We start from the raw sequence: 19,842 nt of genomic DNA on the forward strand, positions 1-19,842 counted from the left end.
CTCCTCCTCCTTTGGGACACTTCCCCAGGCTTCCCCTACCACGCCTAGGAAAGCCTGCCCTGAAGTCCAACTTCTAGATTCCTGTTGTGAGAACAAGGCTTCCAGCTCTGCTTCCACACCCAGCAGCCTCCCAGGTCACCTTCTGTTACCCTAAATCCAGCCCATAGGTAGCAAGGGCTGCAGGAAGCGCCCTAGCCCAGACTCAGAGCACTTGGGTTCTTCTTCTTGCTAACCTGCTGGTGACCTTGAACGAGCCATTTAACCTCTCTGTGCCTCCATGTCTTCATCTAAAAGAAAACATGCTGCCTAAATATTTTCTCTCTTTTGTGGCCCACTAGGCCCTGCCGTCATGGCCTCCTTTCAGTCTCTCAAAGAGCCGGTTCTTTCCTGCATGAGGCCTTCTCACCAGCAAGGCACGCTGTTACCTGGAGTGTGGCTCACTCTCATTCTTCCCAACTTAGTCACATGTTCCCTTCCTAAAGAGGTCTTTTCTGACCCTTCTTAGCAGCCACCTCCCCACCTTGTTTTTCTCTGTCACCCCACTCATTTCCTTCATAGCATTGTCACAGTTTAGAATATAATCACATGTATTTGTTCTTCCTACTGAACTGCAGGAATCATGTGTATATTATTTACCAGTATATCCCCAGTGCCTGACACATAACCATGCCTTTCACAGTATTCATTCATTCATTCATTCATTCATTTACTCACTCATTTGACAACACTGATTGAGCACCTGTTACATGCCAGGCACTGTCCTGAGAGCTCAGGAGATACACCAGTGAACACAAAAGAAGTGACTGTTTGTAGAATATGGATGCAGGATTGTAATGTGCCTCAAATGAAATTATGGTTGTGAAAGTGATACGCTGACCTGACTCAGTGCCTCACACCTGTAATCCCAGCACTATGGGAGGCCAAGGTGGGAGGATCGCTTGAGCCAGGAGTTCAAGACCAGCCTGGGCAACACAGTAAGACTTGTCTCTATAAAAAAGTAAAAAAAAAAAAAAAAAAAGTGAAACACAAACCAAGAGAATGTGTTCACTTTACATTTGCATGGCACTTTACAGTTTACATAGTGAGTTCACATACTCATTCACTTATTCTTTCATTCATTCAGTAAGCATTTCTCGAATACCTACTATATGCTGGGCACAATGCATATGGTTTCTGCTTCTGAAGACTTACTTCTGAGGCTAGTGAGGGGACAGAGACAGGTCCCCCAACAGTTGGAAATGCCTGTGGGACTTCCAGATGAGGATGTAGAGGTCTAGAGATGATCTAGCGCCACTGCTTAGGGCAGGCGGGCTGTGCACTGCACAACTAAGGAAGAGTGTGACTTTTACGATCCCCATTTGCCAGTTGAAGAAATTGAGGCTTGGGAAGGTTAAATACTTGCTCAGAGTCAAGTGGATATAGGGCATAGATCCAGGACTGTGTGTAGTCTGTGCATGTTGAGCCTACCCCTTATGGCTGCGCTCTCTGCCTCCTTCCTACCTTCTCAAATGCTGCTGAGGTCAGGCAAGGGGAGCACAGTTGTTTCCGCTGGATTTGAACACTAGCAAGTCATTGGTGAGTTTAGCAGAGCAATTTCAATGGAAAGGTGAGAGTAGAAGCCAGATTGTTGTAGACTCCAGAGTAAAGGAACTGGAAATTAAGAACATGATCAACTTATTTAAGAAGGACCCCCGGGAAGAGAGGAGAACTGATAGGTAGAGTAGGACCTGGACTTTGAGAGCCTGTGTTTTTTTCATATGAGAACAACTTGAATGTGTCATATGTTGAATCACCAGGAAGAAGGGATTAAAGATAAAGGCAGGGAGGGGGCAGTGAAACAGGATCCCTGAGGAAGTGAGAATACGGGTTGTGGGCAGGGGAGGGGAGCAGGTTAGCCTTGCAGCAGGAGGAGCTGCTCTTCCTCGGAGAGAGGATTTCACAACACTGGCAAGAGTGGCTCCAGTGCCTGGAGCGGGGATTAAAGCAGTAAGTCCAGTGGGGTCCAAGGGCCATGCAGGGGTACAGTGAGGAGAAAGCAGGTGTGATCCGGGTGGCACATCAGATCCTTCCAGCAACCAGTCTGTTAGGAGCAAGGGCAGATGTTGTGAGCCCCTATGTTTCCCCCAAGAAAATCAAACCTCTGAGAGGTTTCTCACTTGCTTATCTTCAGCTGGCCGAACTCAGCCTCAAACCCATATGTCCTGTCTCCAAGTTCAGTGACTGTTATCATCAACTTCTTCAACAGTAATAATAATAGATCACATTTATGGAGTGCTTGCCAGGGCATGTTTACATCATTATCTCATTTAACACTCAGAACAATCCTCTGTGGTGGGTGTTTTCATCGTTCCCATTTTGCAGGTGAAAAAACTGAGACTTCAAAAGGTTAAGTGACTTCCCAGGGTCCTACGACCTACATAATAAGTGGCAGAGCCAGGATTCAAACCTAGGTTATCAGAATAATGCAGCAAAGCCCAAACCCTCAGCCCCTTTTCACTGACTGGTAAGACCCATATTTAATTCGATGCCCTACATGCCGTGCACAAGTTTCAGTTTTCTGAAGCATCGCTTAGATGCTTAGGTGTTTAGCACCACTCTGAACTCTGACTTTTCTAGAGAGGCTGCTAAAGGCATTAGAAAGTTTCTGAAGTATAATGGAAAAACCCTGCTGGAGTAAGTGCCTGGCACACTCAGGATTATCAGTGTGATTCTTTATAATAAACAGGCTCCCAGCACCAAGCCCAATCTATTCCATCAGCTGGATAAGAGCTCTCTGGCAGGCCTTGGGCCAAGCTGGCTTCCTTTGCCTCAGCAGAAGAGCATTCTGATTCTCTCTGCCATCCCCAAAACTGACAGGAGCAGAGAGAAACAAGGCAGAGGCATGAAGGGAATGTCCTCTGCGGCAGATGGTGCTTCCGGAAGAGCTCCCACAATCTGAGCTAGAATGAACAGGGGCTAGATCCAAGTCTCATATAGGCATACTTCTGCTTGACAGAGTGGGCATGCCGAGGGCCGTTGGGTGGAGGCAGGCGTGTGCAACCCAAGCAGACATGAGACGCAGCTCCTTCAAGGCAAGGTTGCCTGAGCCCAGAGAGGCTCAAATTTGTGCCCCAACTTCCTCTGTGGCTTTTGGGTGGGGCTCTTCAGAATCGAAACACACTCAGAGGGCTGCTGAAAGGGCTAAGAAGTGTTCAAGGTTGGCTTCCATCAGGCTGCTCATGACAATGGCCCCTGAGGTTTTAACACCCTTGAACGCTTGGTACTAAATCAATTAGAGGCAGGGCAGGAGCAGAAAGAGTTGGCGCATTTGATCAGTAAGTTCCAATGCCAGTGCTGTCTATTATCTGTGAACTGTGTTAACTTTGGACACGTCACTTCACCTTTTTGAGCTGTTTCCTCGTCTGTAAAAGGGGGATAATACCCATTCCATGAGGTAAAGCTTTGAGCACAGTCTCTGATGTAAGCAGGTACAGAATATATAGATGCTGTAAGTTTCATGGTCCCATGGAAGAATTCAAAAGGGTTAGATCCCGCCTGCCCTCAAAAGGGTATGTGTTAGGAAATCAGAGTAATACCTAAGTAGTAAATTGCAGAGTCCAGAGACTCTGGGACTCAGACTTGAAGGGATGAGTGAGGATTGGACTAGGACGACTTCACGGAGGAGGTGACAATGAGCCTCAAGGTATGATGCAATATGGAAAAGGAGGGAAGAGAGTGGGAAAGGAAGGAATTTCATGCAAGCAAAACAACTTGCATGCAGTAACAGAGGAGAGAGGATGCTAACCCAGTGGATAGGGTGGCTCTAGAGTGTGGATGGTCTCCACGTCTGGCAGAAAAGGCTGGACTTGCTGCTGTGGCCCCCGGGACACAGCACAATGAAGGAGGCTCCAGGCAGTCCAGAGTGTGCAGGGTCCAATGCCTGCCCTTCTCAGACAGGACCACCCATCCACCCATCAGGGCCCAGGGAGCAGGGGTCAGAAGGACCTCATGACACAGAGTTCTGACTGTGATGACACACTTTCCCCAGAGGGGAGGGGAAGGGGAGAAGGGGTTAGAAGACCCCACTGAGAATGGAGGCATCCTAGCTGCAGAAGCACCTGGCTGGTAGGCTAACAGCACTTTGTGGGTCTCGTTCCCAGGAGATCTGCGCTGACCCCCAGTTTATCATTGGAGGAGCCACCCGCACAGACATCTGCCAAGGAGCCCTGGGTAAGTGATAGATTCAGAGCAAGCTGGGGGATCTTGTCTGTAAGGCTGTGGGTGGAAGAGATGAGGGACAACCTGTGGCTTCTCTCCCTTCCCAAGCAGCTTGGCAATTTCTATTTGCAGAGAAGCTCCATGGAATTTCTTGGCCCTAGCGGGCAATGATTCTACCCTCAGCCCCATGCTGGGGCACACAAATGAGGCCTCCTGTGTCCCCTGCACAGGGCTAGTTGCTGAGGTTACAGAGATGCTGCCACTAGGAGGACCAGGGGGCTTCTGGATGTCAGCCACCCCTTGGTATGCACCTCCTGGAGCCAGCATTACCAGTGGTTCACGAAATACACTCTGGGCAGAGGACTAGGTGGGAGGACTCCCCCAGACCAATGACAGCACTGAGACATCAGTTCTGTGAGGTTCAGGAACCAGGGAAGGTGACTCAGTGTAAAGAAAGAGGAAACTCTAATGCTCGCTGCTGAAGGAAGTTATAGTACCAGGGCATTCTCAGTGTTTGCAAGACAAGCTCACCATGGTATCACAGTTGTAACGCTCATTTAAGTAAAATGAACTGGAGTAGCTGAATTGTCCAAAACCTTGCTTTCTGGAGCCGAGTTCAGATTTGTTTCTGGAGATAGTCCTTGTTGAAGGTTTCAACCCACAGGGTTCTCCACCTTTAGTATGAAAATTCCCAAAGCTTCTAGGAAGTCCCAGCAATGGGGCCTGGCGCTGTTATCTAAGATTCTCATAGAATCTGCCCTCAATGTTCTTTTACTCATAATAAATGTGGGCCTATAATTACTAGAGCAGATTATTTGCTCTGATAAACCAAAAATCTATTTTCTGCCATCAGCCTCAGCTGGCTGGCTCCCCAGACAAGTTCATCAGTAGCAAAATCAGTCAACTAGAGTTGTACCTCCTGTCCTCACCCACCTAGCAGAGGTTCTGTTACTCATATACTCCTAATACCAGCTGATAACAGCTAATATGTATCTCTAAGGCACCGTGATTATTCCCATTTTATAGATGAGGATGCAGAGGTCTTCCTACAGCTAAAGTGGTGGCTGGTACCCCTGACCCCAGGGTATGTTTAATTCCTGAGCTAGACTCCCTAAGACGGGACCTGGAAAATTTTCTAGCCCTGAGGAATGTCAGAGCATCATGTGAATCATTAGGACAGACAGACTGTGAGGAAGAACATGAGCTGGGCGGGAAAGTTTGTCTGAGCTCAGGCTCTGCAGATTCCTGAGATGCCAGAGCACATTCTTACCTGCAGAAAACACTCCTTTCATTTCTTTTCTTCTCGCCCCACAAAAGACAGAAGATAGAGGTCCTTGAGCACCCAAGGCGGATCCTCCAGGAAAATCTATTCATTAGAGAAAATGGAATTGATGGAAACTTTGACCAACCCCGGGGGCTTTAGAGAATCCAGAAACAGCCGGCGCAGTGGCTCACATCTGTAATCCCAGCACTTTGGGAGGCCGAGGCAGGCAGATCACCTGAGGTCAGGAGTTAGAGACCAGCCTGGCCAACATGGTCAAACCCTGTCTCTACTAAAAATACAAAAAAATTAGCTGGACGTGGTGGTGGGTGCCTGTAATCCCAGCTACTCAGAAGGCTGAGGCAGGAGAATTGCTTGAACCCAGGAGGCAGAGGTTGCAGTGAGTAGAGATGGCACCACTGCACTTCAGCCGGGGTGACAGAGAGAGACCCCATCTCAAAAAAAAAGAGAGAGAATCCAGAAACAAACACAGCAACTGCCTAACATCTGCTTCAGAGTTTAACAACACCTTAAGTGCCAAAGTGTAAGCAACAAATACATGATTTAAGTCCTGTGTAAATACCACTGGGCCAATTGGAGAGGAGATAGCAAAGGTTAACATTCCTGGGAGAAATTTCCCTCCCAGGGGAATTATAAACCAGGTGAAATGTAAACCTTTTAAAAATTTCTTAGTAGCTAGTCTGTAATTTCTCAGGGGTGTGTGCGTGTGTGTGTGTGTGTGTGTGTGTGTGCGCGCGCGCGCGTATAATGCAGTATTGGTCATTTTGTTCTTTCAGCCTTTTATTTTGGAGGACTCTAGTTAGATCACAATCTGTGAAATGTGGTATACTGTACTCTCACCCTGATTCTGGCACCTGGCCAGCGGGTGCTGATGGGGCCTTGACCTTCACCAAATCCCAACAGCCTCACAAGCACCAGGAACAGAGGCCATGGCAGTGACACTCTGTGACATGGCCAGAGATATGAGCCTAGACTCAGCTCTGTTGGTAGTCCGAAGACTGGGCAAGTAATTACCTGGAACTTCCATCTGGAACCTCCGTCTCTTCCAAAAACGGAGAAGGAAGGAGGGTAAATGGAGTGACCTCAGACACCCCCTATGAGTTTGTATTCAGCTATTCTAAAGCCATTCCCGGGTTTCTAACCAGCTACTCCTCATTCCTTGTGCTAGAGGGTTAGAGCACTACAAGATCATCCTTATTTTCTCTCTTTCTCTCTTTTTTTTTTTTTTTTTTTGACAGGGTCTCACTCTGTTCCCCAGGGCTGGAGTGCACTGGCAGGATCTTGGCTCACTGCAGCCTTGGCCTCCTGGGCTCGAGTGATCCTCCCACCTCAGCCTTCTGAGTACCTGGGACTACAGGCACACGCCACCACACCTGGCTAATTTTTGTATTTTTTTGTATAGACCGGGTCTTGCCATGTTGCGCAGGCTGGTCTTGAACTTCTGAGCTCAAGTGATCCACCCACCTCGGCCTCCCAAAGTGCTGGGATTACAGGCGTGAGCCACTGCGCCCAGCCAAGATCATTCTTTTATTACACACAGAAGGAGTAATAACAGTACCCATCACCTGCATAACAGTATGCAATTCATAGAGCATTTTTTCACTACAGTATTTCATGTACTCATCCCAAATCTAAAGTAAATATTCTCACCTCACTGTACAGATAAAAAAAAACTGAGCCACAGAGACGGGAGAGTAAGTGTAAAGCCACACAGCTAGTAATTGCCAAAGGATTGAACCCTGGTCTGATTTTGAATCCTACACTCTTCCTAACCCATGCTCCCTCCAATTTGCCATAGTGCTGTGCTGAGGAACCATTCTCAGCAAAATTCATCTTCTCTACCTGCGCTTTCTACCCTGAGCCTTACTCAGTTCCCCCAGGGAACTTGGGCAGGTGACATTCTTAGACTTGTGCACTTTGCAACGCCCTGCCCTGTTTACTGTGCTGCCCAGCAATGTTTAATCCACAAACACCCACGCTCCTTCCCAGAAGGCTCAGCTTCCAAGCTTCACCAAAGTCATTTAAACCATGTTTACAGAGCTGCTCTCACCAAGAGCCATCTCCATTGCAGAATATAGTTGTGTAAGAATTGATTCAGCAGAGAAAAATCTGCCCTTCTGGAGGAAGGGCTGGAGACCCAGCTGGAGCCTCCACTGGCTGACCCTGCAGCTAAATATGGCTCTGAAATCGTGGGGTAATAACCACATTCTTACAGGTGCTTGCCACTTGAAATGGCTCCCAAGGACCCAGGAAACTCCAAGGCTGAGCTGCTCCTACCTCTGATGCTTTACTTTGCACTGGGTCACCACTGAGCTTTCCCCACAGCCTCACAGCTCACGGATGAAGGCAGCTACCCCAGCCAGGAAGGCATAGGTCACCTTGCAGGCCTCTGATTTCCTGGGGTAGAGCCCAAGGCTGCCAAGGCTGTTGAAACAGCACACCCCCATTTCATTGTAACCCAGCAAATGTTCCCTGGGCCCCTCAGAGGTGGGTCAACCTGCCTCCTTCTCAAGATGTCACATGGACCCCCAGAGCACCCACTGGGAGGTGTTTAGCTACAGGGTGCCCCACCCCACAGCCTAGCTCAGCAGAGAGTGGGGAAGGGACAAGACCAATGGGAAAGGCAAGCCAGATGGGGAATTTTCCAGTCCTGTTCCTTCTACCACTCATTAGCCACTTATTTGGACCCAACCCCTCTGAGCCTCAGTTTCTTCTTCTGTGAAATGGGAATAATGATAAGGATCCCTTCCCAGGGCTGTGGAGAAAAGTGAGATTTATACAGGCAAACACACTTGGCACACTATAGAATCCCAGACAAATTCAAGGGACCAGGATTATCATTACTGATTCCAGTTATGTGAAAAGTCCTTTTGCCAAATTGCCGAAGAAAAAGAGGATGGTGGAGGAAGAGAAAAGGAGGAGAAGAAAATAAGTTGGGTTGGAAACCAGATCCTTGTCCTTGAAAATTTCATAATCTAAGGGTGGAAATGCCAAAACGAGGAGAGACAAACTTGTGGCCTGTGTTTGGGTAACACACAGATTGAAACTCAGAAGGAGAAACATATGGGGAGAAAATGAACACAAAGGGGTCAGATGTGCATTCCTCAATTTTAAAAATTGAATATTTAAGTGTTTTAAATAATTTTTATTTCTTTTCCTTTCTTTCTTTTTCTTTCTTTCTTTTTTTTTTTTTTTTTTTTTTTTGAGACAGGGTCTTGCTCTGTTGCCCAGACTAAAGTGCAGTAACAAAACCATAGCTCACTGCAGCCTCGACCTCCTGGGCTCAAGCAATCCTCCCACCTCAGCCTTCCAAGTAGCCAGGACTACAGGCACGCACCACCTCACCTGGCTAATTTTTGTGTGTGTCTGTGTGGAGATGGGGTCTCACTGTGTTGCCCAGGCTGGTCTCAAGTTCCTGGGCTCAAGCAATCCTTCTGCCTTATCCTCCCAAGTGCTGGGATTACAGGTGCGAGTCACCACACCTGGCAAATAATTTTTAAATTATAAATTTAAAAATGCATTTTTATAATAGGTACCTTTAAAAATGTTAATAGACTTTTTTTTAAGAACAGTGTTAGGTTTATAGAAAAGCTGAGATGATAATACAGGAAGTTCCAGATACCTCATACCCAGTTTCCCCTATTATTAACATGTTACATCAGTGTGGTACACGTGTTATAATGAATCAGCATTGATGCAGTATTATTAAAGTCCATGCTTTATGCAGATTCTCTTAGTTTTCCCCTAAGGTTCTTTCTCTATTCCGGGATCCCATCCAGGACCCCACGTTTCATTTAGTTGCCAAGTCTCCTTCGGCTCCTCTGGGCTGTGACAGTCTCTCAAGTCTTTCCTTAATTTTGATGACCTTGACAGTTTTGGGGAATATTGATCAGAGATTTTGTAAGATGCCTGTCTATTGGAATTTGTGGTGCCTTTTTAATAAGTATGCAGTGGCTCACACCTGTAATCCCAGCACTTTGGGAGGCTGGGGCAAGAGGATCGCTTGAACCCGAGTTTGGGACCAGCTTGGGCAACATAGCAAAACTCTGTCTCTACAAAAAAATTACCTGGGCTTGGTGGCACATGCCTGTCGTCCCAGCTACTCGGGAGGCTGAAGCAGGAGGATCACTTGAGCCCAGGAGGTAGAAGCTGCTGTGAGCCGTGCACTCCAGCCTGGTTCTGGAGCCACTGCACTCCAGCCTGGGCAACAGAGGGAAAACTTATCTCAAAAAGTAAATAAATAAGTACCCATGTAGTTAAAATGTTTAAAGACTAGCAAATAGATGTTGGCTGGTTTGATGGAGAAAGTAAATCCATTCTTTTTCTTAAAAATGATCTCTTCACCACCAGTCCCAGCACCCCCCTTACCAGCCTCCCAGGGCACTGTCCATGGCTACATTGTCCATGGGCCATCATGTCCCCTCGGCTTCTCTTCTGGTTGTAAATGCTCTTGCACTTTTCTCCCTTGTGGCTGCCGTCCACACTCCCAGCTGCCTTCCCTCTGCACTTAAGATCTAAGATCTTAGAGACGAGATGAGACATCTCTTGCCTTCGTGCATCTAAGACAGCTCATCAACAGGTCCAGGTGAACTGCTAACACTGCTGTGTTGCTTGGAGGCCCCTGTCCCACCCTGGCTGCCTCAGCTTTGGCCATGGTACCCACGGTCTCCAGCTACATCAGATGCCTGAAGAACAAATCTCTCCTTAGCTCTCCCTGCCCCCTCTCCAGGAATAGGAGCAGTGGGACCCCCTTCAAGAATCCCCCATTTCCCATATACTTTCCTGCAAAGCCACAGGGCGTGCAAAGTGGGATTCCAGGGCTCCAGCCTGCTCCCCATGGGCCTCTGGATCCAGGGGTGACTCTTTGCCTGTTTGGGTGCCTCTTTAGATTTTCCACCAGCTTCCTGTGGCCAGGAGCCAGACCACGCCCCTATACGGCCATAGTTGTCTTATCTTGTCTCTGAGATTAGAAGGTTGGAACAGATTTTCCTGATGCCCCACTACTTCTGACATTCTGTGACTTTAGAATGTTACCTTCCTCGACAGCCCCCTGCACCCTCACACATCTGGCTTTAGCTGGACTGGTGTTTGTGAGGAATTATATCTCCACCTTGTTCAGCACCAGTCCCCAAGAAGACCAGCCAAGGGACACTCATCTGGGGATTTGAGAAATGAAGGACCGTGGGTTCCATGAGGTCTGTTGGGGTCCTGGCTAGCAACACTGTCTGGATGATTGAGCCCCAGGAGGAGGTGGCCTGGCCAGCAGGTGTGCAGTGAGGCCACTTCTAGACCACCCCTGTCCCATAGAGCTTCTAGTGATGATGGAAACCGTGTATATCTGCACTGCTCCAAACAGCAGCACTAGCCCTGTGTGGCTGTGGAGCACTTGAAATATGACTCATGCAACTGAGAAACTGAATTTGTAATTTTATTTAATTTAAATGTAAATAGCCACATGTTCCTTGTGGCTGCTGCACTGCACAGCAGCAGACTGTTGCGCTCTGGAATCCAGCCTCTCAGCCTTTACTCTCCAAAGCGGGATAGTATTCACATCAGAGCCAAACAATGCACAGACGTCAATAAACAGGCAGGGCATGGTGGCCCATGCCTGTAATCCCAACACTTTGGGAGGCTGAGGTGGGAGGGTCCCTTCAGCCCAGGAGTTCAAGACCAGCCAAGCAACATAATGAGAACCCATTTCCACAAAAAAAAATTTTTTTAATTAGCTGGGCATGGTGGTGTGCACCTGTAGTTCCAGCTACTTGGGAGGCTGAGGTGGGAGGATCACTTTGAGCCCAGGAGGTCAAGGCTGCAGTGAGTCGTGATTGCACCATGACATTCTAGCCTGGGTGATGGAGTGAGACCTTGTCTCAAAACAAACAGCTAAACCTACATCAATAAACATCTGTAAATATCAGGGTAGCGAATGAGGACTTGGTGTCTGGCAGTTAGGGACTGGCCTCTTATTCTGCCACATACTGGCTCTGTCATTTTGAGTGGATCACTATCCTCTTCACACCTCAGTTTCCTCATCCGTGAAATGAAGATAATAATAGTGCCTACTATCAAGACCATCCTGGCTAACACGGTGAAAACCCATCTCTACAAAACTACAATATGAAATACAAACAATTAGCCGGGCGTGGTGGCATGCACTTGTAGTCCCAGCTACTCAGGAGGCTGAGGCAGGAGAATCGCTTGAACCTGAGAGGTGGAGGTTGCAGTGAGCCATGATCGCACCACTGCACTCCATCCTGGGCAATAGAGCGAGACTTCATCTCAAAAAAAAAAAAATTGTGTCTACCTCAGAGGACTGTAAAGATGAAATGAAATAATAGACATATAAAGCTCAGAGCTCCAGAGGCTGGTACATAGTAAAGGTTTAATCCATGCAGATTGCACGTTCTCTTTGGGGACAGTACAGCTGGAGGGGAGTACTGTCAAATGAGGTCGCGTCGCTGAGGTGGAGACACATTGTGGCACATCTTGAATACCCGACTGGGTCCCAGCTTTAGCACTTGACATTGGCGGCCACCTAAGTTTTGGAGAGGGGTATGACAGAGGAGGTGGTGTCCCAGGGGGAAGGTCCGGAAACTCAGAGGAGTTTCCTGCTGTAATTTTCTTTGGTCACACAATGGTCATGGCCTCCTGATGTTTCCCACAAAGGGCCAGAGGCCCTTCAGTGCCAAGGAACGTGGACTCTCTCCTATCCCAGCACATACACGTGCTTCCAGTACCTTGTGATCTCTAGCCATAAGTTTCCACTCACCCATCTGCGAAATGGGAACAATGACGATGTTTGCGTCCTTTCTTTTTCTTTTCCTACAATGCAGGGAACTTTAAGACTATGTGACAGAAAGGTGCCACTGGAACCCAGGGCCTCGTGGGTTTCCTCCGTCTCTCGGGAGACCAGGATCCGAGTGAGAAAGTTTCCCACGTTCATTCTTGTTGGGCCCATTCTCAGGATGATGTTTCTCCTGTATTTTGCTACCCCAGCCCAAGCAAGACTAGTAGTTCAGCTTTGTGAATCCCCTCAGGAAGTCAGGAAAATAGATACTGTCTTTGGGCTTCCTCCAGGAGCTAAGAAAGGAGAGTTCCTGAAGAGCAGGAATTTAAGACAGGAATTGGCAGCCGAGGGCAAGGTTCCACCTCCTCCTCCCTTCTTCTGTGGGGTCTGTGATGAGAGCAGGGATGGGGAGGAAGAGGGTGGGTTTGCCTGCGCCTGGGGGGAGGGCAGCCATCAGGAAGGAGCAGCCACCTCTGCTGGGGTACTGGAGATAAAAACTCTGATATTGACTAGTGACCGTGGGGGCGATGGCCCAGGAGGGTCAGGGCTGCAGGGAACAGGGACACAAAAACGACAAAACATGCAACAGGTTATGTCCTTCTGGTCCAGGGCACGGCTGAGACAGGCAAGGGACTAGAGAGAGGAAGAGTGAATGTCAAGCCCCAGCACCCTCGCCTCCCTCCCATCCTCCCTTTTAGGGCCTCCCTTCTGGCAGATAGGGCAGGGAGAAGGGAAAGGAAAGGCCTGGGACACGTGGTTTGGATCACTGGCTGTGGCTCACAGTTCTGATGTGTGTGCAGTTTAGGGAAGGAGGCTGAAGACTTCTTGTTAATAAGGGTGGGGCATGAGTAAAATGGAGGATCTGCCCCCTCCCCTCCCAGCCCCTGATACAAATGAAGGATGATTGTACATGCATGGGGAATTCCACTTTGGGGGTATCCTTTTCTGGGCTGCTGCCAGACTCTGAAATGAGTAACAAAGGGATGGCCCAGGGTGACTCATCAGCTACCCTCTCGCAGGCCTAGCACGCTGGCGGGGTGTGCATTTCCTCTAGAGAAGCCCCTCCCTGCCAGTTTCAGAGGGATGGCCCTGAATTGGCTTTTCAGAGGTTCCTTCTCCTCCCTTCCAAAGCGAAGACCCACAGCTGCCTGAAAATGTGGCTCTCCGCCTTCTTGGGCTGCCTAGGACCTTGAGAGATGTGTCTCTCTGGGACAGGGTGTCAGGTCTGCTGGAGATTGTTAAAATGCTGTTGTCTCAGGAAGGGTGAAATTTAGCCAGGAGCAGTCTTCAGTAGCTTGGTCTGTTTATCGTGTATCTAGCTGTCAGCATGCAAAACAAAAGAACAAAAGGTCTAAAGAAATATAACGCAAAACAGGTACGATTTGAGATCCATCAGGGTTTCTCAACCTTGGCACAACTGACTGGATAATTGTTCATTGTAGGGGGCTGTCCTGTGAATTATAGGATGTTTAGCTGCATCCTTGGCCTCTACCCACACACCCCCGTGTGCCACTCAAAAATGTCTGCAGACCTTGCCAAATGTCCCCTGGGGGCTTGGCGGAGTTGGGGGGTGCATGGAATGCCCCCAGTTGAGAACCACTGGCAGAGCAGGAGTGAAGGGGGAGGTACTGTGGGGGTCACTGGGCACACAGAATGCCATTTGGGGAGCCTGGTGCAAGGGAGTGGCCGGATGGGAGGTAGGAATAGCAGTGGTAATCAGTAGGTGAGTTGCTGAAGACAAACTAAATATTCTTTCCAGCATTGCTTCAATCTAATCCAGCCGCAAGTATGAGTAAATACTGTAGGAAAGGAGAAAACATTGCATGTACGGGGTCAGGGCAGCATTGCTGGGATATTTGAGCCTGTGGGAGGGGAGCTTCAAGCTTCCCACTAGCATTGGGAGGAACACAGCAAAGGAGGAGAAGGGCCCTCCCTGCTTCTTGGAGAATGGTTCCACTGGCAGGCCATTCCGTCTGCTCAGCTTCCTAGCTCAGGTGCCTTTCCAAACCACACATCAGCAGGGAGACAGTGGGAACATCTCAGGTCCAGGGTACCTTGGGAACTGCAGAGCAGCTGGGTGGCCTGACACTGGCATTTCTCAGTGTTGGCTCCATTCTCTTGCTGGCACCCCCAGGTGGGAGACTCTGTTAGCAGGTGTATCTTACTATCCCTGGCTCCCTGGTATGCGTTACAGTTCAGACTCCCAAGCACAAGCTCCCTGTTTTGTCACACCTGTATCTAGTGTGTAACAATCCACCCCAAAACAAATGGCTTGAAACACAAGGCATTTTGTTCTCTCTCATGGTTCTGAAGGATGACGGGGCTGAGCTGGGCAACTCTCTCCCGCTCTCTCAAGTGGTTGCAATCAGATGGGGATGGGGACAGAGTCATCTGTAGGCCCCCTCAACCACATGTCTGGTGCCCGGGCTGAAGGGTGGATCAGCAGGGGTCCAGGGATCTCTGTCTCTTTTGTGGTCTCCCCATCACAGGGACTTGAAGGTAGCTGAACATCTTACAGCAGCTCATGTCCCAAGAGAAAGACCTGGGAGCTGTCTCATCTTTACGACCTAGGCTTGGAAGTCACATAGCATCACTTCTGCCATATCCTATTCATTGAGATCAATGAAGGCTCACCCAGGATCAAAGAGAAGGGACATGGAGCCCACTTCTAGATGGAGAGTGGCAGGGTTCTGGAAGAACATGTGAAACCAGAAACATTGTTGCCACCATTTTTGGAAGACACCACGATTCCTCCCCTTTGAATAATGGCCTTCTTGTCCTTTACCAGTAATAACCCAAGCTGCTTGGACATTAGCTCTTCATGGTTTGCGGGGTGGGGAGGATGTGTTTTCTGGGACTTCCCAAGGTACACAGTAGTGAAGGACTTCACAAGCTGGGCTGATGTGCCAGCTTCAGGACTCCACTCACCCCCAAGCGTTCTGAGATGCCCATGGGGCTCAGGAGCCCTGACTTGCACAAGCCAGCAACTGCCTTTCTGCTTCCATTCAGCCAGCTTTACTGGGCATCTGTTATAGGAAGAGCAGTGGGCTGAGACTTCAGCAAAAAAGACAAAAGCAAAACACAATCCCTTCTCTATACAAGGTTCTTCCCTTTCTGTGTCCAACCAGTCCCTCCATTCTCGGTCCTTAACTCATCACCAAGCCGCCATTTTCTTCTATTCCCCCATTACTCCAAGGCGGGCCTCAGTTCTCACCTGGAGTCTGGCTCAGGATGCCTACAGGTGGCCCCAGAATTGTAATGGCTTGACATGCAATTTTTCAGCTTTACAATGGCATGAAAGCAATACACATTTAGTAGAAACTGTACTTGAAGTACCCATACAACCATTCTGTTTTTCACTTTCAGTACAGTATTCAATAAATTACATTGAGTTGTTCAGCATTTTATTTTAAAACAGGCTTTGCCTCCTTAGATAATTTTGCCCAACTGTAGGCTACTGTAAGTGTTCTGAGCACAATTAAGGTAGGCTAGGCTAAGCTATGGTGTTAGGCAGTGTCAACAAAATAGTCAAATTCTGTGAAATATTTAAAGAGTTTATTCTGAGCCAAATATGAGTGACCAAAGCCTGTGACAAAGCCCAAGGAGGTCCTGAGAACCTGTGCCCAAGGTGGTTGGTTTACAGCTTGGTTTTATACATTTTAGGAGGACATAAGTTACAGGCAGACATCAATCCAGAAAGGCGGGACAACTTGAAGTGGATGGGGAAGGCACAGGGGCTGGAGGGGGCTCCGAGTCACAGGTGGATTCAGAGATTTTTCTGATTGGCAGTTAATTGAAAGCATTAAGTTACTATCTAAAGACCTGGAATCAAGGCCGGGTGCGGTGGCTCACACCTGTAATTCCAGCACTTTGGGAGGCCAAGGCGGGTGGATCACCTGAGGTCAGGAGTTCGAGCCTGGCCTGGCCAACATGGTGAAACCTCGCCTCTACTAAAAATGCAAAAATTAACTGGGCATGGCGGTGTATGCCTGTAGTCCCAGCTACTCAGAGGCTGAGGCAGGAGAATCGCTTGAACCCAGAAAGTGAAGGTTGCAGTGAGCCAGGATTGCACCACTGCACTCCAGCCTAGGAGACAAGAGCAAGACTCGCTCCCAAAAAACCAAAAAAAAAAAAAAAAAAAAAAAAACGAAAACCTGAAATCAGTTGAAAAGTGTGCCTGGGTTGAGATAAGAAGTTGTTAGAGACCAAGGTTTTTATTATGTAGATGAAGTCTCACAGAGGGCCACTCTCAAAGGCAATAGATGGCAAATGTTTTCTATTCAGACCTTTAAAAGGTGCTACTAGATGCTCAGCTAATCTCTTCAGGATCAGAAAAAGACCTGAAGGGAAGGTGATTCTCTACATCAAGCTTGTCCAACCCTCGTGCTGCCCAGGATGGCTTTGAATGTGGCCCAACACAAATTTGTGAACTTTCTCAAAATATTATGAGATTTTTTTTTTTTTTAGCTCATCATCTATCATTAGTGTCAGTGTATTTTATGTGTGGCCCAAGACAATTCTTCTTCTTCCAGTGTGGCCCAGGGAAGCCAAAAGATTGGACACCCCTGCTATAGAATGTAGATTTTCCCACAAGAGACAGCTTTCAGAGACATTTCAAAATCTGTCAGAAAAATATATTTTGGGCTAAAATACTTTGATTTCTTTCAGGGCCTGCTATCTGTCATGTGATGCTCTACTAGAGTGTGGTTGGAATTTGGTATCTTATTGCTAGGAAGAGTCTGTTTTGTGAGTCTTAAGATCTCTGTTTTCAGTTAAGGCTGGTCAGCTGTGCCTGAATTCCTAAAGGAGGAGGATAAAATGAGGCATGACGGACCTCCCTTCCCATCGTGGCCTGAACTTGTTTTTCAGGTTTACCTTGGAATCCCCTTGACTAAGGGGGCACCCATTCAGTTAGTTAAGGGGCTTAGACTTTGATTTTTAGTTTACAGTAGGCTGAGGTGTATTAAATGCATTTTCGACTTGCAATATTTTCAACTTCTGATGGATTTGTTCAGATGTAACCCCGTTGTAAGTTAAGGAGCATGTATACTTGTATCTAATCCACTTTGGGCATTGCTGCCAGAAAACCTGTCCTCAGGGAGCTATGGAAGTAGTGGAGGCAAATTATTAAATGGATGGATTAATTCCAAGTTCAGATCATGTTGGGAGTCAGCTGGGAGTCAGTGTGAGGATCTGGGAGGGGAACAGTAAGGGGTTAAGAGAGATACCCCAAAGGATGATTAAGGAGGGAGAGTTGGAAGGAAGGTTTCCCACAAAGAGGAAGCAGGGAGTGATTCATTCTGAAAAAGGCAAATATTTTATTATGCTTGGAGGGTCTGGTGCAGAAGGGGAAAGGAAGAGAAGGAAGTTTGGCTTAAATTCCCTTAGGAGCCAGTTCAGATTCCTAAGCTGGCCCGGACATCCAACCCAATCCGCCTAGCCCCAGCCCTCTCCAGTTCCCAATGCCCAGCCCCACAATGCCCGTCCTGCTGCCTGCCTGTTCTGGACTCTGCACTTGACCTTCCCTCTCCCTGAAAGTGCCCCTGCTCTTCCTCACCCAGCTCCCCGCTCTAAGCCTTCCTCGCCCACCCCAGCCCTCCTACAGTCCCAGTCTGCCCTGTTCAGACTCAAAGCCTCATGCTCACCACCATCATCCACAACCAGTTTCCACGTCTGTCTCCTGCCGGCTGTGAGCTCACTGCCTCAGAACCAGCGCCAGTCTCCTCTAGACTGAGTACAGGCCTGGCACGGAGCCAGGAATGCACCAACAAGGAGCCTGAGACTAGATTGGAGGGGAAAGAGACATGTCCTCCAGAGTTGACTTACGCGAGGACAGAGGTGTGCAGAGGCACGGCAAGCTGGGCCCCAGGCGAGAAGCATGGAGTGAGGGATGTGGAGGCAGCGGAAGGCATCTGGGAGTCTGGGCTGCCCCGTAGCAGCTCTGTGTTCTGCCTGCTCTTCCTCCAAGATGAGCTCCCTTGGCCAGTGTGTGAAACGTGTGTGTGAGTGTGTCACCGGTAAGCTGAGTTCTTTCCCTACTTGGTATCAGTTGCAAAGAAAGAACACTCAGTTGGAAAAAAAGGCAAGAGGGTTTTATTCCTGACCAGGAGAAAGAGAAGGAGGGGGCTCTTGCTCTAAAGACACCTTCACCCCGAGCCATGGAAACTGGGGAGTTGTAAGGAGATAGGTGTGGGGCAGGGAGGTGTGTAAGCAGGTGTGGGGTCACGGTGTGGGGGTGGAGACCTCTAGACGCTCAGGCCCAGGTCATAAACATGCCTCTCCATACAATGCAAGATGTGTTACCAGAAAGGGGTCCTGATCTAGAACTAAGAAAGGGTTCTTGGATCCCGCTCAAGAAAGAATTCAGGGTGAGTCCATACAGTAAAGTGAAAGCAAATTTATTATGAAAATAAAGGAATAAAAGAAAATCTACTTCATAGAGCAGCCCTGAGGGCTGATGATTGCCCATTTTTATGGTTATTTCTTGATTATATGCTAAACTTCTTGATTATATGCTAAACAAGGGGTGGATTATTCATGCCTCCTCTTTTTAGATCACGTAGGGTAACTTCCTGATGTTGCCATGGCATCTGTAAACTGTCATGGCTCTGGTGGGAGTGTAGCAGTGAGGACGAGCAGAGGTCACTCTTGTCACCATCTTGGTTTTGGTAGGTTTTGGCCGGCTTCTTTACTGCAACTGTTTTATCAGCAAGGTCTTTATGACCTGTATCTTGTGCCGACTTCCTATCTCATCCTGTGACTTAGAATGCCTTAACTGTCTGGGAATGCAGCCCAGTAGGTCTCAGCCTCATTTTACTCAGCTCTTATTCAAGATGGAGTTGCTCTAGTTCACACGCCTCTGACACATGTTCAGAAATAATGGTGATTTTCTTCTACAGGTGGGGACGTTAGCATTATAATGACATGGTAAAGTTCTGAAGGTAACAAGGGGTTGCCTGTTCCAGTTTCTGCCAGTTTTGGGGGTCTTATCTCCCTCTGGTATCTGGGCAGAGGTCAAGAAGCTCTGGCACCATCAGGGGCCAGCTTGTTTCTTTAAGCAGCTGTGCCTACAAATAAAGGGACTAAAGAAAACAATAAGAAAACCCAGTTATTTCCTGGGGGTTGCTCTGGTATCCAGCGTGTTTTACTTCACCAAGCGCAATTCTTCCCAGTGCAGGCACTGGGTGTAACTGTGACAGCCAGCACCAACCTGCCCACACACCTCCTGTCCTGCAGGACTGTCAGCAGCCTCTGCACTATAGTGTGACAGAGCCACAGGTAGCTCAGGTGTGCCTCAGCCCAGCCTCTCCTGCACTCCCCCTCCCCTGGCTCCCCAACTCTGCCTCACTTCTGTTTGTGAAGGAAAGACAGCAGTAGCGGAAGGGAAAGAAGGAGAAAATGCAGAGCAAATATTATGCTTTCCTCTTGGAAAACCTCCAGGAGCTGCAAATATTAGTAATCCAGCTGCATCCCACCCCCCAGGATGGGCTGGGCCTGTCACACAGCCAACCTTCAGGATGCAGACACCCAGGCTGGGGAGCACAGCTCTGGAAATTTACTGACATGGCCCTGAATG

General features: G+C 48.4%; 1 protein-coding gene across 3 annotated transcripts in view, besides 4 other annotated features; it reads left to right on the top strand.

Annotated features, from left to right (window-relative positions):
* The window catches only part of CAPN2 (calpain 2), a 74,422-nt gene that overhangs the window by 12,026 nt on the left and 42,554 nt on the right, over positions 1 to 19,842 (top strand). For all 3 annotated transcript variants that reach the window (NM_001146068.2, NM_001748.5, XM_047431344.1), the window contains exon 2: positions 4,140 to 4,209. In NM_001146068.2, the coding sequence (NP_001139540.1) occupies positions 4,140 to 4,209 (70 nt within the window). The remainder of the gene's footprint in view (positions 1 to 4,139; positions 4,210 to 19,842) is intronic.
* Positions 4,802 to 4,971: an enhancer, noted in NCBI's record as "experimental_5382 CRE fragment used in MPRA reporter constructs". NCBI's record gives its function as "activates a minimal promoter by MPRAs in K562 erythroleukemia cells, with activity observed for the introgressed 1:223906211 variant allele {active_cell/tissue: K562}" and the evidence as "EXISTENCE:reporter gene assay evidence [ECO:0000049][PMID:34662402]".
* Positions 5,137 to 5,984: an enhancer, noted in NCBI's record as "OCT4-NANOG-H3K27ac-H3K4me1 hESC enhancer chr1:223906461-223907308 (GRCh37/hg19 assembly coordinates)". NCBI's record gives its function as "activates a minimal SCP1, AML or CMV promoter by ChIP-STARR-seq in naive H9 embryonic stem cells {active_cell/tissue: H9 hESC(naive)}" and the evidence as "EXISTENCE:reporter gene assay evidence [ECO:0000049][PMID:30033119]".
* Positions 13,869 to 14,529: an enhancer, noted in NCBI's record as "H3K27ac-H3K4me1 hESC enhancer chr1:223915193-223915853 (GRCh37/hg19 assembly coordinates)". NCBI's record gives its function as "activates a minimal SCP1, AML or CMV promoter by ChIP-STARR-seq in naive H9 embryonic stem cells {active_cell/tissue: H9 hESC(naive)}" and the evidence as "EXISTENCE:reporter gene assay evidence [ECO:0000049][PMID:30033119]".
* Positions 17,907 to 18,502: an enhancer, noted in NCBI's record as "H3K4me1 hESC enhancer chr1:223919231-223919826 (GRCh37/hg19 assembly coordinates)". NCBI's record gives its function as "activates a minimal SCP1, AML or CMV promoter by ChIP-STARR-seq in naive H9 embryonic stem cells {active_cell/tissue: H9 hESC(naive)}" and the evidence as "EXISTENCE:reporter gene assay evidence [ECO:0000049][PMID:30033119]".

The sequence above is a fragment of the Homo sapiens genome, chromosome 1, assembly GCF_000001405.40.
Source record: "Homo sapiens chromosome 1, GRCh38.p14 Primary Assembly".
NCBI lineage: Eukaryota > Metazoa > Chordata > Mammalia > Primates > Hominidae > Homo > Homo sapiens.